The sequence below is a fragment of the Homo sapiens genome, chromosome 11 (genome assembly GCF_000001405.40).
Source record: "Homo sapiens chromosome 11, GRCh38.p14 Primary Assembly".
Taxonomy (NCBI): domain Eukaryota; kingdom Metazoa; phylum Chordata; class Mammalia; order Primates; family Hominidae; genus Homo; species Homo sapiens.
The window spans coordinates 131368370-131387009 of NC_000011.10; the positions used below are offsets into that span (position 1 = coordinate 131368370).

At 44.0% G+C, this 18640-nt stretch overlaps 1 protein-coding gene and 1 pseudogene across 21 annotated transcripts in view, besides 1 other annotated feature; both read left to right on the plus strand.

Moving 5' to 3' along the window:
* Nucleotides 1-2245: 2245 nt before the first annotated feature.
* NTM (neurotrimin) overlaps nt 2246-18640 on the plus strand; it is a 966208-nt gene continuing 949813 nt past the window's right edge. For all 21 annotated transcript variants that reach the window (NR_170352.1, NR_170351.1, NR_170346.1 and 18 more), the window contains exon 1: nt 2246-2519. Coding sequence is in view for 4 of the 21 variants with exons in the window: in NM_001352001.2 (NP_001338930.1) it covers nt 2438-2519 (82 nt within the window). In the remaining 17 variants the exon portion in view is untranslated. The remainder of the gene's footprint in view (nt 2520-18640) is intronic.
* Nucleotides 5709-6371: an enhancer, noted in NCBI's record as "H3K4me1 hESC enhancer chr11:131243973-131244635 (GRCh37/hg19 assembly coordinates)". NCBI's record gives its function as "activates a minimal SCP1, AML or CMV promoter by ChIP-STARR-seq in primed H9 embryonic stem cells {active_cell/tissue: H9 hESC(primed)}" and the evidence as "EXISTENCE:reporter gene assay evidence [ECO:0000049][PMID:30033119]".
* On the plus strand, nt 16880-16994 carry RNU6ATAC12P (RNA, U6atac small nuclear 12, pseudogene; annotated as a pseudogene).

The window sequence follows — 18640 nt, forward strand, 5'->3', positions numbered from 1 at the left end:
AAATTCTTGTCCATTGGGAGCTCACGATATCAAGGACATTTTGATAGATATGTGAATTAGAACTTAATGGCAAGAAGAAAAAAAATACCAGTTAACATAAAACATCTTTAAAATGAGAAGGAGTATAATAAATTATTCCAGTTCTACAATTTTATAGACAAGAAGCCAAGGTTCACAGAGGTGAAAGGACCTGCCTGAGGTCCCTTAGTTGTGCAGAACTATGAGAAGGATCTTGAGGTCCCCAGATCTTGAGGTCCCAGGGCCCCTTCCTCTCAAGGTCACAAGATCCCACATTCCAGGCAGTGTTGTCCCTATTCATACACAACACAAGGTAAACTTGTGGGAGGCCAAGGCTGGAAGGACTGCTTGAGGCAAGGAGTTTGAAACCAGCCTGAGCAACATAGTGAGACTTCATCTCTACTATGTTGTAGAAAATTAAAAAAAAAAAAAAAATAGCTGGGCATAGTGGGTAAGGCAGGAGGGTTCCTTGAGCCCAGGAGTTCAAAGTTGCGGTGAGCTGTGATTGCACCACTGCACTCCAACCTGGGTGACGGGGCAAGAGTCTGTCAAAAACAAAAACAAAAAAGAAAGAAAAAAGAAAAAAGCCAAGGTAAATCGTACGTCTTAGACATGTGCAAAATGGCAGTGATGTTTTCATTTCACCTCTGTACACTAAAATACAAACAGACAATGAGTACTTTTCTTCTATGCAGTTTGAAAATACATGAACATTTTTATGGGGTTACAAGGAAGTATAATAATTAGCGGTGGAGTTCTAGAAGAATATTTTTAAAATGTGTGTCAAGGCATAGTAGGGGTATGAATGTGTCAGAATTAGCTAAGGAAGGTTCTGTGAGAAACTACATTTTCTTTTTCTTTTCTTTTTTTTTTTTTTTTTTCTTGAGACAGGGGCTGGCTCTGTCACCCAGACTGGATTGTAGTGGCGCCATCTTGGCTTACTGTGATCTCCGCCTCCCAGGCTCAAGCAATTCTCCTGCCTCAGCCACCCAAGTGGCTGGAACCACGGGTGCGCACCACCAAACCCAGATATTTTTAAGGAATTTTTTAGTAGAGATAGGGTTTCACCATGTTGCCCAGGCTGGTCTCGAATTCCTGAGCTCAGGCTACTGGCCTTCCTTGGCCTCCCAAAGTTGTGGGATTACAGGCGTGAGCCACAGTGCCCAGCCAGGAGCTACATTTTCTAGATTTTTTGTTCACATCCTCTAACTTGCTTCTCATAAGGGGAAGCCAAAGATTAGAATAAACTTCCAGGCCCTAGAATTAGACCTCTTAAGAAATCATTTATGTCCATTAGATTATTTCTGTTCGGTTTTTATTCTTTCCTATCACCAAGGAGGTTAATGTCTTCAACTGTCTGAGGAACTACACAAAGTTTACACTCAGAAAGCCCCTCCGCATGTCTACCCTGAATCTTTCTCGCTGCAGTTTAAATCACAGATGCTTCTATGATTGCTTTAGTGGATGTGGATTGACCAAGTCATGGGGAATAAACTCCTGCTTTGTTTTCTTTTGAAGAAGGTTCTCCATCTTCAGACTATAGAGCTTCTTCTCAAATACCAGGTACTTTGTACCTTTCCATTGTATCATATACACATGGATGAATTTAGGAAATTGACTTCTAAAAAGTGAATGAAAAAGAGGAGTAACATAGATGTTCTGAAACAGAAGTGACAGGAGGAGAAAATAGAAAGTTATTTACTATTTTCAAAGCAACTAAGTAGAAAGGTTGATGAAAGAGAGAAAAAAAAGCTGTCACTGAATGATATTTCCATTGGAGGGGAAAATAGGTACCAACAAATGAAAATTGCCTCATCTTTACAAGTTTCACTGAGCATGAAAATGTCCCTTTAAAATTTCCCATAAGCCATGGCTGGCTATGGGATTTTTCCAGTGCAAAGGGAATCTGAGTTCAGGAGGCCAGGGAATGCCAGGGGGAAAGGGATTTTCTGATACTCAGAAGACTCAGAGACTGTCAGTTTAAAAAATGAAAGTAATATAGAAGGGGCAAAGTGGCATTTATCATTCTATCTCTCCAGGCTCCTGTCTCTTTAATCAGCTAGCCTGATTTGCCCAGTAAATGATTCCTGAGAGTGTGTGTGCGTGTGTGTGTGTGTGTGTGCCCGCGCGCGTGTGTTGTAGCTCTGTCAATCCTTGGATTAGAACCAATGATTGCAGCTTGTAGGAGGGCTGTCCAGGGCCAGATTGTACAATGTGTCTCAGTGCCAGAGTATGAGTGGAGATAATTACGGAGAAGTCATACTCTCTCACACCCTCGGCTTTCTTGTTGTGTCCTTCAGCAAAACAGTGGATTTAAATCTCCTTGCACAAGCTTGAGAGCAACACAATCTATCAGGAAAGAAAGAAAGAAAAAAACCGAACCTGACAAAAAAGAAGAAAAAGAAGAAGAAAAAAAATCATGAAAACCATCCAGCCAAAAATGCACAATTCTATCTCTTGGGCAATCTTCACGGGGCTGGCTGCTCTGTGTCTCTTCCAAGGTAAGAGCTTGCTATTGATTTGCCTTCGGTAGACCCAGGAATTGTACAGTGTGCTTTATAAGATTTGCAGACTCCCCGAGTCGGCTGTGCTGCGCTGTTTGCAGGTGGAGGAGAGAGCGTTTAGACAGCATGGCTGGGACTTCATTCTCCCGACTAGGCTGTGAGAATATTGATTTGATTCTGGCTGCTACCGGAATGGGGGAATATGTATGTGCATAAGTAAAATGTGTTTGGTGCTCCTGTTAGGACTGTGCTTGTGTGCAAGGCTCCCTGGCTTCATGCACATTCTTGCACACATACACAACGGAGCACACATGTAAGCAGGGGGAAATGACAGATTCGGAGGGCAACAGGGTTGCTAATGTGTTGCTTATGCGACTGGGAAGAAATTACAAGAGGAAACTTTAAATATCGGCCAGCGAACTTGCAAAGCTTTTAAAAGGAGCAAAGGGGAAAATGCAGGCTAGAAAGAATCAGGTGCTTCCTGTGAGGTTCTGGTCAGCGATCCAGCTGCAAGGGATGAGTCAATTTGCAGCAGTGGGGGACAACTGTATTAGTTTTAAATGTGTTCGGGGGTGTGTTTGTGGCTGGGGTCGGAGGTGTGGAAGCGAGGGGAGCCGGGGCTCTGAAATTCTAAAAAGCTTTTCGAAGTTGAAGGGAGAGAGGCAATAAGAGTCGAATGCTAATTTTCTGTTTATTTATCGGCTGAGCCGGGAGCCCTGGGGGCTGCAGTTGAGTGCAAGCTTTGATGTCCCCAGTGCTGTGTTCTGTGCATTTGGAATCGGCCTCCACCTTGAGTCCATTTGCTGCACCGTGCCTCCCCACACCCCATCCCGGCTCTCACGTCTGTTCGTTCCAGCAACAGAATTATCCACTAATCTTCTTGCTCCCACCTGCCCTGTCCTTTGGGGTAACTAGTTTGCCTCTTTTATATTAAACACAGCTAAAACTCGTAAGGATCGAGACAAGCTGAGAAACTTTCCCAGGGTGGCCCAGCAGGGCTCCGGGAGGAGGAGCCCTCTCTTGGGAGGTGAGGCTCAGTCCTATGCAGTTGTATTCCCAGAGGAAAGTTCCCTCTGACCCGGTGAAAAACGATGGGGAGTCCCACCCCCTCGCCCTCTTCTCCCCCTGCAATATGGAGTTCTCCTGATCTGGACTGAGTCCTGAGCTGTAGTCCTGCTGGCTCTTCTCCGAGGTTAGGATTTAGGGATTGCTGCTGTCCTCTTGACATAGGTTGCAGTGGCTGCAGTGTGGATCCACGTAAGGTGGGCAGAGAGACCAGGCTGGAAGGATCAAATGTGTACACCCTTGACTGGGGCTCGATGAAGAAGGCAAGGGGTGGGGACAGGAGGGATCTGTGTCGGGTGATAAGGAAGTCCAAGGTGGTGAATCTTGCAGGGATGTCCATGATGTCGTCTGCTGCACCCAACCCCAGGAGGCATGGGCCTCAGGATTCCCTGCTGTCCCCTAGGGGCTTTGGTGGGTGTTTGAGTGAAGGGAATCAACTTGGAGGCATCCTCGATTGACTCCTCTTATATAATATGAAGCAGTATCAGTGTGTGTGTGTGTGCGTGCGTGTGTGTGCACCCCTGCTTGTTCTGGGTGCACAAGAATGAAGTGGGGAAGCTGAGTTCAGGATCGGGCAGTTTCGGAAAAGCAGTTTCTGTGGGGGTTGACAGCAAAAATGAAAACTAAGCAGGCAAGGGGTAGGGTGAGGGGTCAGAGGTAGGGAGAGGGAAGGTCCCAAGCCCTCAGTCATTTCTATCTGTCCCGAGATCCATGTCTCTTCTGCCTGTAACATCAAACTGGAGACAATGACCAAACTTCCACCATCAACAGCCCTGCTGGCTGCATGCCAGGAGCCCCAGGGCCATACTGAATTTACATATAAATTAGCATACGTGATTTTTTTTTTCATCAGAATAAATGCAGGGAAGCATAATATTTGCTCATACTTTGAATCATCTCTGAATAGATGAGTAGCAAAGTGGTGGTGCCAATTTCTCTAAGGTGCCATCTGACTTTGTGGTCTTGTTCCTAACTTGGGGTAGGGGTGGTGGCGACAGCACTATCTCAGACCTTATCACATTCTACCGAATCCGGAATTTCTCAAAAAGAATGATGGCCTTATTTGTGCTACCCTCACCCAGTCAGCCCTGAACAGGCTTCAGTGGTCGTAATAGAACAAGGTTGCCCAATTTTAACGCAGAACGACCCCCAAAGACCCGCATATTGCATGCCAGTCAGATGTGGCAAAGGTGATGTCTGTTTTCTCTTTCAGAGGAAGGAAGCTGAAGTCTGCCAGCTATCTCTTATCAAACTTGCAGAATTACTGAGGCAGCCCAGGTCTTGCCTGCAATAATCCACCCCTATTGCATTGACCCAGTGGGACTAGTTAGAATGCAGCACACATTCCAAGGCGATTTTTTCTTCTCCTCTGTTTTTGTTTTAAGCTGGTTCTTCCTAGAGCTGCTGCTTCCTGTGCCTCCTGCCTCTTGAAAAGGTGTCTGGTGCTAATGGCAGGTTAGGAACCCCTCCCTGACCTGCTCCTCCCCACAACCCAACCAGCAACCAAGATCCAGCTTAGGTAGGGAGGGGGGTTTCTGAGGGAATCAGCACTGATTAGTGACGCTGACAGGAGGGGGGATTAGCTCCCTGGGGCTCTGGCCCTAAGATACACCAGGGTTGATTAAGTGGAGGCATCTCGTTGCCGGGAGCAGACGCTACAGAACTGGATCAGGCGCTGTCCCTTGCAGAACACCCACCGCCCACCTTCTGCCACTGAGAGCCTCTGAAAGGAATGGCTGCTTGTGCTGCAGCTTCCTCTTTCTAGAAAACCGACCATTTCTCCTTCGAAGGATTATTGTTTCTTTTAACACCTTCAGATTTGCTTGGCTAGGTTCCTCTCTTACCTTTCTCATTTCCTCACCTCTCCTCACATCCCGCATCCGCTTAGCAGCTAGCCTGAGACACAGACAGGGCAGAGGAGAAGGAAAAGGTGCCTCGGCAAAGTTCACACTCCCCTTCGCGCAGCACCCGGGAGGTGGGCGGTGGGCGCCGTTCGGCTGGGCAGGCCGGCCAGGTTCCTGCCATGCACAGTACACACGTGGTGCCAGCAGCAGCTTGAGCTGGGCAATGCTTCTGATATTCAGGGGTGGCAGACGAGACCATAGCAATATCTACTGGCAAAGTGGAAACATCAGCCTGGGATGATGGGACCCTGGGCCTGACATAGGCATTGTGGGCTCTTGGAAGCATGGCAGTAAGGGGAGGGCGTCAGGGAGCCTCATCGAATGGAACCTGCCTGCCAGGCTTGGGGCTGCCAACTTGAGGCAAGTTCCTGGCAAGGCGTGCACAGTGGCACAAATGTAGCTCACCTCCGCCCTTTGTATTAGGAGGCCACCCCACCAATGGGGATGGCCGTCTGAGCATTCGCTCAAGCGTGCCTGGAGAGTGTCTGCCCTGGCCGGCAGGTCTCGCTGCATGAAGACCATTCTTGAAACTGCAGCTTTAGTTACCAGGCACAGAGCCTGGTCCTGGTCCTGATTCTTCCCTTTTTTGGTTCCCTTAAAGCCAAATATAAGCCCCCAGATCTCGTCTTATCAGCTGCAATGTACAGTCCCTGACTTCTGTTCTTTCTCAGTAACCTCCTTCCATAGCGCTGGTTTTAATTCAGGCGTCCTGCGTAGTGTCTTCAGGTGTGTCTCTTGGTTCCCTGCCTGAGGTGATAGGGTCTAGATTGCCTCCTGGCAGTTCCCTGGGTTCTGCTCTCTGCCTGCGTACTGTCTGCCAGGCTGATAGTGGCTCCTTTTCTTGATGGGCCAAACAACCTGGTGTTGATTTTAGCCAAAACTTGTCCCTTGGGATGAAGTGAGCTCTCTCAACATCCCAAGAAATGGCAGAATTTCTGAATCAATATGGGGCACATGATTCTGACGTGTACAGAAAACACATGCTGGAGAGATTTGTAATGCTCTTGCCATTCAATCATAGTAGAGGCACACTTTGGGTAGGATGAACAGGTCTGTGATTTGGCTTTTTTCCTAGTATTTTGGATTCAAGCTCATGATCTGCTTCTGCTCACAAACTAGAATGCTAAAGATTAACAAACAAACAAACAAAAAACCCACATTGCTCTCTCTCTTGCTGCAGCAGAGATCCTACAAATGCTTCACACACCCAATATGCGTGGTCTCCAGGTTTCAAGCCATTTCTAGTGGTCTGAACATAGCTCCATGGGGGACATGTACATCTAAGCTCAAATTTCTCTGTTTTCTGTAGGGAAAAATCTCTCCCTCTGCGGGCCTATCTCCCCACCTGCCCACCAGGCCGGGGAGCGACTCCCCTGGGTGTTGTAAGGACTCATTAATGCTTGTAACACTCCAAACATGTGGTGCTAAGTGGAACTCCATGCTGAGATTATATTTATGCAGTTTACTTCCTTTCTGCTCTATTGTCTTGTTACATGTTTACTTTATGTCTATAGTCATTTGAAATTCAATAAAACCAATTAAACATAAAAAAAGAAAGCATGCAGTAATAAAGAAGTCGATGGCATACAGTTTGGAAGGGTCAAAGGGTACCATCCTAGTGTTCCTAGAAGCATCACCTCCCCATTGCCGGAGGGTGCTTCATCTTATCAGAGAGTGCACTGGGGAAGGGCAGAAGGGCTTTAGAAGGCACTTGCAGGGAGCATGCCTCCCATCCCTTTGCAAAAGGAGGCTTCAGTGTGGGACTGCAGCGTGAATGGTGGAGAGGGGGAGCACTAGGGAGGATGGAGCTGGAGGTAGGAGTTTCAGAAAAAATAGCTCTAATCTGGATTGGCAAAGGGTGGGAAAAAAAGAGCTCTGGCTTCTGCTTTGACTGATTTTGGTCGGTAACCTCTGAGAACTTTATTTTTTCTTTCATGTATGTATGTATGTATGTCTTTATTTATGCAACCCTCTGGATTAAGCCTGCTCTTGCTACCACTGCTTAAACTGAAAAGATATAGGACTGCATCCATTTTCCTTCCCATTCTCTCTCCCTCCTTCCCTCCTTCTCTCCTTCTGCCCACTCCCCCTACTTCTCTGTTCTTCACCTTCTCTTTTTCTCTTTCCCTTTTTCTGTTTTCCTTTCATTTTTCCTTCTCCTCTATGGGAAAAATAATTGATCAGTTGACAGATCTAGGTCAAGCTGGCAGGGGTTGCTCTGCTTCATGCAGGCTTGCCTAGGAGAAGGAGGGGAGAGCCTGTCTTCACAGTTCACAAGGAGCCCAGCTGATGGGATGGAAGCGGGGAGGGAGGCCAACGGACCATGGGCGAGTTCAGCCCTCCCCAAAAGGTTCTCTGGGATCCTATTAATTACAGAGTCTTCCATTATTTGGTATCTCTCACACTCTAATTTTCCATATCAAATTTATCTTTGCCTATTTCCTGCTTTTTTTCTCAGCTTCTATAAGCTGTCTGTTTCGGTTTTTCTTGTTCTTCTTTCTACTTGCCCCTCCTTTCTCTTCTCCTTTTCTACTGCTTCTAAAATCATGACAGGAGATCACAGAATCTCCCCTACTTAAGTCATATTAGAGAAATGGCCTTTTGTTTATTTGCAAGTGGAGAAACAGAAACCCTGCCAGAAGAGCTCTGTAAGTCATTTGCAAACTGCAAAACAAACCAACAAAGATTCACATTTTCATTGCGGAGAAGAGCGTATTTCAAGAGAGACTGTCAAGCTAAGAAATCAAATATTGGAAAACACATTCTTCAGCTCTGTTACTAAGGACATCTTAGGTTACTAAATTTGATTTTTTTTTTTTTTTTTAGCTTCAGTGAGAGTATTGCCCTTTGCGATAAGAAAAGACTGATCAAAAGACTGCTGGTTTTGGCTTTACTTCCTCATTCAAATTCACTCGCTAGTGGTGCTTCCTTTGCTCATCTTGGAAGCGCCACCAAACTCTCACCCTAACACCAAATCCATCTGGTTGTTTATTTGCCCACGGGTTCAATCACATCCAAGTGTTTATTGAGTGTCTACTACGTTCGGTGCACTGTTTTAGGTGCTGGAGATAAAACAGCGATGAAAAAGCAACTAACGGATAAGACCAAAGACCTAGTTGGGTCTCTCAGATTTGGTTTGGCTTGGCATCCTTTGTCATAAACGGAAAGCAACAACAGCAGTACCGGAAGCAAGGGTGGAGACTTCATGGCACAGCCTCTGGCCTCCTGTGCAAATGATGATGGATGGCAGGGAAGTAACCAGCCCTCAATCCTTGTTTTGAGACAGGGGTTTGGGAAGAGGAGGTGCACACCCTGGCTCTGGGTTCTCATAACACAGAGATGCTGCCTTTGCTACTCCACACAACCTCTTGTAGAAAAGGAGCTCATGGATGCCTTTGGTGTATATAGGATGGGGAATGCTGCTGTGAGTTCACTGTCTTTGTGGTCATTGTCTTGTGTGTTTGAGTTACTGGTTGATGCTGAACATCACTGTCACCTCTCTGGCCTCTCCACTTCCTTTATGCCCTGACTTCTGCACAGAACTGGAGGGCCAAGAAGATAAAAGGAGAATACCAGATAAGGCCAGGGAAGAATTTGCCTCAGACAGCTTTTGTGGATGAGGCAAATACTATTCTTCTGACCTGTGGGAGGGATTCAGAATTCAGGGTAGAGCTAAGATAACCTCCTCTATGAGAACCCTTTTAATTTGCTATCCAATCATCACATCTTAATTTAGAGTTCCTGGAATAATACAAATGCATTATTAACAAAAGGAATTTCTTTGTTTTCTTCTGATGGAATACAGTGTTTTGGGCGTCACATTGTGTAGTTGTTCTCCTACACACCCATCTTCTTTCAATCCATGGATTGTGTTTGCAGCACTGTGTGTACAGAGGTAACAAAGCTGCTCTGGCACTCACACTGTGTACTCTAGCTGCACCCTGAATGCTTTGGGAGGGCTGCTGCTATCTGCATTTCCATCACGGTGGTGGTGATCATGCCTAGGTTTTCTCATGAACAAGAACAGGTAATTACCTTTCTCATAAACCCATGATTCTTCCAAGTCCAGTGGTCTAGACCAATTATACATTGCCCAACTTGATCTCAGAAGTCAGAATGATCCTCAGTGGGTAGGTGCAATCTGCATTTATTTGCAATACTCTGTCTGAAAGCCAGTGGTTTGCAAACTTGCCATACCATAGAATCACCTGGGAAACTTTATAAAAATACCAATGTCTGGACCCTATCACAGACCAATTAAATCAGAATCCCTTTGAATGGGACCCTACACTGATATTTTTAAGAGCTCTCCAAGAAGGCCTAATCTGCAGTCAGGTTGAAAAGTGTACCTCTAAAGCCATCTGAACATGTTCAAAGACCTTGGGTAAGACACATCCCCTATATAGGCTTCAGTTTTCTCACTCTAAAATAAAACACTTGGACTAAGAGATTTTCAAGTCTCATTCCAAGTTCAACATTTGGCAATACTGCAAATAGTCTTTTTGAGTATAGTTATTGATAGGTAGTGGTTCTAAAAGAAAATACTCAGCACCAGCCTCTGCCTGCAGGAAGGTAAGAATATAAACAGCATCACAGACGAATGAACAGAGTCAGAACATGTAAATGGTGTGTGTGCGTGCAAACTCTACGTGCTATCTCATATATATGATGTTGTGTATTCATATATGCATGCATTTATTTACCTATAAAGCATCCTTAGAATGGAAGGAAAGGATTAACTTGTCATGGGTAGGGGGAATAGAACTGATAATGACTCTCAATTGATCAATTCCTAAGCCTTCCTGCAAGAGAAATTCAGAAGGCATTTGATTGAGGGTCAAAAAGGAATGTGATTGAGCTGGATTGGAGAGTGCTCAGCAATGACAAGCCTTAGAAGAAGCTCCATCCTTAGATGTGAGAATTACATATTTCTCTTCTACCTAGCCTCCCTGCCCCTCCCCAGGAATCAGTTATCCAGCTGCATTGCTTCCACTGCTCCCTCCTTCTCATGGTCAATAAAGACTCATGCTCAGAACCTCAATGACAATTTTGCAGCTTCATATGTTAGGTAGAAGTGATGCTGGCTCCACTCACATGGCCAGGACAGCTCCTGTGGTGTATGCCGGAGTGAAAACTTGTTTGTTTTCTGATGGAGTCAGCAGATCTAAGAGGCACATTAGAACAGGGCTACTGGCAGATTTGTGCCAAGTTTAGTCTCTGGGTAACCCACACACCCACCTGGCTCCCCAGAGTGTTCATACTGCTGTGCCAGACAACCCCTGATTCACAACCAGCTCAGGCTGGGAGGGAGGCTCAGAGGGACTTTCAAGATACTTTATTTCAGTTCCTCTTTTGGGCTCTGACCCCTCAACAATGCAGCTGCAGTGGTCCTCCAGCCTCTATCTCCAGTGATAGGAACTTGCATCTCTTCAGAAGTCCATTGCATCTGTCAGATTTCAGGAAGACAGGAGGATGGGAAGAAGAGGCAGGGGAAGAGGAAGGAGAAGGAGATTCTGCCTTCTTATAGAATCCAGCCACATGTCCTATATCTGGAGAGTGATTATAACGTAGCGGCTCCTAACACAGCGGCTCCAGGACCAGATTGCCTTGAGCCAAACCTGGGTCTGCCTCTTTCTGGTTTGAGGTCTGTGGCAATTGAATCAACCTCTGTACAACTCAGCTCCTCTTCAATAAGATAGAGATAATTATAGGACTTACCTTGTAAGGTTATTATAAGGAATAAATAAGTTAATGCAAATAAAGTGTTTGAATACTGCCTTGTACATAGGAAGCTCTCAATAAATATTACCTAATTCTACTACCCACAGGACTGGTCTAGTTTTTCTACATGACTGTTTTCAAATATTTGAAACTGTGATTTCCTCCCTTTCTCCCCTGGATCTCCTCTTTACTAGGTTAAATATTCCAAGGTTTGCCTCCTATTTTCTATAAAATCATCCATTAACAGAGTGCTGGTGGTTCTTCTCTAGAGTTGTTCTGCTTCCTCTGCATCCTTCTTCCAGTCTTCTCCCAGTATGTCCTGGTAGCCCAGCATATTAGAGCCCAGCATATTATAGCTTCTCCTGATTCCAAATCCAAGTAGAATGAAGTCTCAGCTCTCTGCCAAGGCATGTGAAATCCTAAGGGTCTGTCCTCAGTTTGCCTCTCTCCTAAACTGAGGCACTCCCTGCTCCATGGCCTCTTTGGGGTTTCCTGTTGCTCCCTCTGTAAAGCACACGAGCATGCTGTTCCTTTGGCTTATGCTCAGGCCCTACCCTGCCCCTCTCTACCTAGAAAATGCTTTTGATATTTTCAGACTGAATTCAAAGTTCAGTACCCTTTCCTTTGAGTCTTTTTTTTTTTTTTTTTTGAGATGGAGTCTCCTGCCTAGGCTTCAGATGCAATGGTGCCATCTCAGCTCACCTCAACCTCCGCCTCCCGGGTTCAAGCGATTCTCCTGCTTCAGCCTCCAAAGTAGCTGGGATTACAGGCATGTGCCACCATGCCCAGCTAATTTTTTTTCTATTTTTACTAGAGATGGGATTTCTCCATGTTGGTCAGGCTGGTCTTGAACTCCTGACATCAGGTGATCCGCCCGCCTCAGCCTCTCAAAGTGCTGGGATTACAGGCGTGAGCTACCGTGCCCAACTGAGTCTTCTTACTGCTTCTCTTATGCTTGCCTTGCACTTTTTCTTACCTTTACTGTTCATATCCACAACCTGTTAGTGTAGGTGACCTATTTACATGTCTATCTCCCCTTCCCAGGCTGTGGGCTCCAGAAGGGCCAGGACAATCTTATTTATCTTTATATACCTAGTACACATAGCACAGCCCCTGGGACAAATGTGACACTCAGTGTTTATGGATGAAAGGAAGGGAGGAAGACCTGAGATCCCACTAGGTATTTCAGCTGCCCTGTAACTCTGTCGACTCAAGGTGAGCTATTGTTCATTCAACTCTTCCTTATCGTTTGCCTGAGTTGTTTCAATAGGTATGCAAGAGCCTGACCTCAGAACTTACCCTTTCTATTATAAAGCCATTTTCTTAGATTCAACTCATCTCTTCTTTCTGACAAATATTTTTTTTAGATCCTAAATCTTTTTTCCCGTATATTAGTAATCCCTCCTGGCTGTAATCAATAATAAACCGGATGTTATGGATACCTATGTAGTAGTACTTGTGGAGCTCAGTATTTCAGGCTAAACTGACCCAAGAGTGGAAAAGTCATTCTAATGGTGAACTGCTCAGATCAGTAGGGGAAGGGGGAAGAACCTACGCTCTACATCTAGGTGAGGTGCTGGCATCAGAGGGAAGAATGGGGACAGGGAAGGTTGAACCTAAGAAAAGAGGAAAATGACTGGATGAATTCATCTAGTTGGAGAAGGTGAAGTGGTCCAGTGTTTTTTAGCTGTTTCTCCAAATCTAGTCTCTCTTCCACAAAGCTGTCCACTAGAGTACTTGACTTTCTTCCTGAACAGTCAAGAGGAAACTCAGCCCAGTCATGGAATGGATTAATCAACAGCTTTTTTTCTCAATGCAACTGGTGATACACGAATATTTATAGTTGGATAAACCATTTTGCTAATTCTGAAGACAAATAAGAATTAACTAATCATTCTACATTTCCTCTTCCTTTTCCATGAAAACTTCCTAATAAAAGGATCTAAATGCCATATTGTCATTTTTTTTCCGTTATTTTTTCATACTGCTAACTCCTTGTCCAAGGTCAAATAATTTAATAATTAAATCCAGAAGCTTTTTCATGGACTCCTAGAGTTGTGAGATACCGTGGCATTTCACTTGCCCTGTCTCCTCCCCAAGGCAACAATGCCATCTGAACTGTGTTGATTAATTCCTGCTCAAGAACTCCAGAGATTTCTAGTGACCAGACACTCACTACCTGAGTTGTGGCTCTCAGTTCTGGCTGCCTATCAGAATCACCTCTGGAGATTGTTATAAAGCAGATGCCCAGGTCTGACTCTCAAAAATTCTCCTGGCACAGGTCAGAATAGGGCAAGTTCATCTCTATTCCAAAAGAACAGCAGATGATTCTATTGGGAGGTACAGCTAAGCATAACTGATGTTAACACTCTTTTTCATAGCTGATAAACTATGTGAGAAAGCACTTTGCAATTCTGGCAGGCATTCTTGATGCCTCCTCAATATCAATTCTATCCTTTCTCTTTTGAAATAGTACTCTAAATTTTTTCATAGTAAGAATATGCCCATTTAAAATACTCAACTTCCAGATTCTGTTATGACATATGGTCATATACTGCGGTTCAGGCCAATGGGATACAAGCATAAGATGACTGGGTACAGTGTGGAGGGTTGTACTTGGATGGCCTGTGCTTTTCGGACTTTATTATTTTCCCTTCTTGACTGGGAGACTGGGATCCTTCCTGGAGGTGCAGGATCCCACTTACAAACAGGAGGACAAAGAACACATATCAAGAATGACAGAGAAGGATGCTTGTAGGTCAAACCACATGGACTTGCTGTTTGGGTAAATAAAAAAATAATTGAGTATAGGTAATTTCATATATCTCAAACTGATAGGGGGAACTCAGGTTCAAGATGACATAGCAGTTGTACCAGCTCTAGAATGCATAGTTATAAAGTTATCATCACTTGTGAAAAAAAAAATCTCCATTTAATTAGTTTTCTTTTCCTTGCAGCTGAATACAATCCTAATGAATCTATGTGGAACAAAACTTTGCCCCTCCCTAAGTTTTGCCTTTAGAGCTATCAGGATAGAAGTAAAAGTGTATGATCCACTTTCTAAGAGATGACTATCATAGACCCTACTTATCTTATCGTGGCATCCTTCGTTCTTTCTTGTGATCATCGCATGGCACAGTTTCTGGAGCACTAATCATCCTGATCATTATCTTTGAAACATGACCAGTTTGATAATGATCAACTGAAAAGGTTTTGCCAGAGCAGACTCTGCCAGCTGTAGTCTGACTGGCAAAGTAGAAAGTGAACTGTTACTTAGCAGATTTTGGACTTTATAGTTACATAGGTTCATTCAATTATTGTGTTAGTTTCATTCTTTTTTTTTGGATATGCCACATCCTTGGCTCATTTTGAGGCTGTATTTGTTCCTCTCACAAAATAACTGATTCCATAAGACCTTGCCTATCCTTGCTCACAGGTGATCTTCTCTAAATGATCTTTTTAAACACTTAAAACTTTATTGCCCCTGTGTCCATTGTTTAAATCCATTGAGATTATTTTTCGATCCCGATGAGATGTCTTCATCAGCTTTTTGTTATCTCCAAATGATACAGACATGACATCTCCACATCATTGAATCTAATGATAAAAGAACAACATAATCGATCTGAAAGCATGGCCAGGTGCTTACTTACATTTATATTTCATCCACTTCAGAATTATTTGTTCAGACCATACTAGGTATTAGGCATACACAACAACAAGGCAGGCATAGTTCCTGCACTCAGTTAGATAGACAAGTGACTACCACGTGGTAAGTGCTAGAATAAAAGCAGGTAAGTTTGCTATGGCAGCATTTGGGAGACTTTTCAGGACAGGAAAGTTCTCTGGAAGGAAGATATGTTAAAGCTGAGAGATAAAGGTGAATAGATTTAACCAGGTGAGAAGAGAGATGAGTGTTACAAGTGGAAGAAATTGCATATGCTAACGTCTACAGGGAAGAGAGCATGGTAGGAGTTCAGAATTCTGAAATCAAATATGGCTAGATTGAGTGTGTTTGTATGGGGTGATGGGAGGAGGAATGTAGGTGGAAAGACAAGAGGTATATGTAGAGAGGTAGGTAGAGGTCAGGGCTAGAATTGTTTTCATTGAAGATTTTATACTGAGGGAAAAGGGTGCATTGAAGCGTTGTATGCCTGAGAGTAACATGACCACATTTGCAGTTGTAGTGGCCAAACAACATGATTTGGGTTCGTTGAAAATGGTAATGTGTCACTCTAGTTACAATATGGGAAATGAATTGAAGTTGGGCAAGACTAGAGGAAAGGGAGCCTCCTAAGGGACGTTGCAACCAGTTAGGCATGAGGTCACCAGAGTGACAGTTGCAGAGAAGGAGAGACATGGGGGTATTCAAAAGTTGTGGAGGTAGAAGGGTTAAGACTTGGAGATGGACGGGGAAGAAGAGGATAAGTAATAAAGAAAGTGTAAGAGGACTTCCGTTTTCTAAGTGAATGGCTTAGAGGTGGGTTTTAGAGAGATAGTAATTAATGCAATTTGGGTCATGATGGGTTTAACAGTAGCTTTCCAATATGAGGTTAGCTAGATGGATCTGAAACTCTGGGTATGAAAAAAGACAGTCTTCAACACAGATACAACTAATTACCCAGGGAGAGAGTAAGGAATACATAAAAAAGAATTGAGGGCAAACACTAGTCTTTAAAGGCTGGGAGGAGAAGGGATCTGGAAAAGCAGATTGACAAAAAGTGGACAAATACATAGGAGAAAAATCTGGAAAGCATGAGGCCATCAAGGCCAAATGGTGTAAATTTGAGGAAGGCAGGAATGTCAGCAGTGTCAAATGTTTCTAAAGGATCAAGGGAGATTATACTTAGTTGCAATAATCTCTTCCATGTTCTTGGGGATAACAGTTTTGTGGGGCGGAACAATGGGGTGGGGATACAAATAGAAAGAAGAAGTGGAGTCAGAAAATGAGTGTAATTATTTCAAAAGGTTTTCTAATTTAAAGAGAGAGAGAGAGAGTGAGTGAGATGGGCAGGGGCCAGGGAAGGAGAGGCAAGAAGGAGGATGTGGTGATGGCTGGCCAGGTGAGGCCCTCAGGGAATACAAACAGGTGGGAGGAGTGGCGAATCCTGAGAATAGGTACAGAAAGAAGTCTTGAAAAGAAGAAGAAAGACTGCTTCCATTACTCTTTAAAGTGAGGAAGGAGAGAAGTGTTTGAGAATATGCATTATGATTAGATTCAGCTGCAAATGACAAAAATGATGCAATTAGAGTGGCTTAAATAACGTAATCTGTATCCCTCTGGTTATGGAAATACTCTACTTTGTCTGTTCATGGCTAGTGAGGTGTTCCCCAAACTCAGGCACCCAGGCCTTTCTGCCATCTGGACCTGTTGCACATGGCCTTGCCTCCACAGTCTAAGGCGGCAGCATCTGTGTGCCAGAGTGGAATGAGGGAGAGATGAAGAAGAAGCAGGAGGTACCCGGGCATTGCCCCCTGCAGATGCTCCTGGAGGCCATCATGTGGCATCCTTGCTCACCTCCTCTTGTCCAGGACTCAGCCACATTGCCATACCTAAGTAGAAGAGCATGTGGGAGACTCACAATCCCCTGTGGATGATCACATGCCCAGACAAAGTCAGGGGCCTACCACCATGGAAAGAGGGATGGACATTAAGAAACTATTCGTGTGTCACATGAAAGGAGGAAAAAGTAGTATTCCCTTGATAAGGATGGAAGAGGCCCTCTAGTCCATAGGGTACACATATGGTTAAGGCAATTCTACCATAAAACCATGATGTTTCAATATCACTAGTCATTAGGGAACCACAAATGAAAACCACAACGAGGTACAACTTCACACCCATTAGGATATCGCTGATGAAATAAAAAAGGAAAATAAATATTGGTGAGGATGTGGAGAAACTGAAACCCTTGTGCGTTGCTGGTGGGAATGTAAAGTGATGCAACCACAGTGGAAAGAGTTTGGGGGTTTCTCAAAAAGCTAAACAGGCTGGGCTCAGTGGTTCCTGCCTATAGTCCTAGCACTCTGGGAGGCTGAAGCTGGAGGATTGCTTAAGCCCAAGAGTTCATGACCAGCCTGGGCAATACAGAAAAATCTCATCTCTACAAAAAAATTTTTTTAAAATTATCCAGGCGCAGAGGTGCACACCTGTAGTCCCATCTACTCAGGGGGCTGAAGTGAGAAGATTGCCTTGAACCCAAAAATTCAAGGCTACAGTGAGCTATGATTGCACCACCGCACTCCAGCCTGCACAGCAGAGCAAGACTCAGTGTCTAAACGAAACAAAATAAAACAGAACAACATTAAACATACTAAATCAGTCAGTGAATTGGAAAAAAATAAGCTAAACATGGAATTACCATATGACTCAGCAATTCTACTCCTGGGTATATATTCAACAGAATGGAAAGCAGGGCCTCAAACAGGTATTTATACATGAATGTTCATAGCAGCATTATTCACAATAGTGAAGGTAGAAACAACCCAAGTGTCCATCATCAACAAATAGATAAACACAATGAGGTCTATGCATAAATGGGTATTACTCAGTTTTAAAAGGGAAGGCAATTCTGACACATGCTGCAGCATGGATGAACTTTGAAACCATTATGCTAAGTGAAATGAGCCAGACACCAAAGGACCGATAAGGTATGATTCCACTTTCACGAAGTACCTAGGGTAGGCAAATTCATGGAGAGGCTATCAGGGGCTTGTGGGAGGAGGGAAACAGGGAGTGATTTAATGGTCACAGAGTTTCTGTTTGGGATGCTGAGAAAGTTCTGGAAATGAATGGCAGTGATAGTTACATAATATTGTGAACATACTCAATGTCACTTAATGGTACACTTAGAAATGGTTAAAAGGGTGAATTTTATTTCATGCGTATTTTACTAGAATAGACAAATGAAAATTAACAGAAGAGATAATCAGCTGTCTGTGGTGTAGGAAGGAGGCAGGTAAATGTGTAAGCTTGGTGGCAGGAAGTTAAAGGAGTTCGCATTTGCTGGCTTTTATTTGCCCTGAGTATATTGCAGGGAAAATAGTGTGTGTTTGCACACACCTATGTCCAGGTCCACATGTTTGTGTCCATATACCTGCAGCCTGGTTTTTCCAAGAGAGCAAAAAGGACTAAGCTAGTTGCTTGTGTAATGGGAGAGACAGCTGATGAGTGAACCAGAGAATCCTGTGCAGTATTAATCACTTTTCCCTCATGCCACTGTCTTTTCTCTGGACTTTAACTAAAAATATAATCTACCCCAGTCTTCTTTCTTTATCCCTTTTTTTGATTCTGCTCCTACCATTTAGGGCCATCTCCCAAACATATCCAGAGCTCACCACTTACTCCTTTCTTGCATTGCCTTTTTAAGGAATTAAAAAGATATGTTTTTATCTTTACAAATTACAAAGCTTATTATATCAAATACA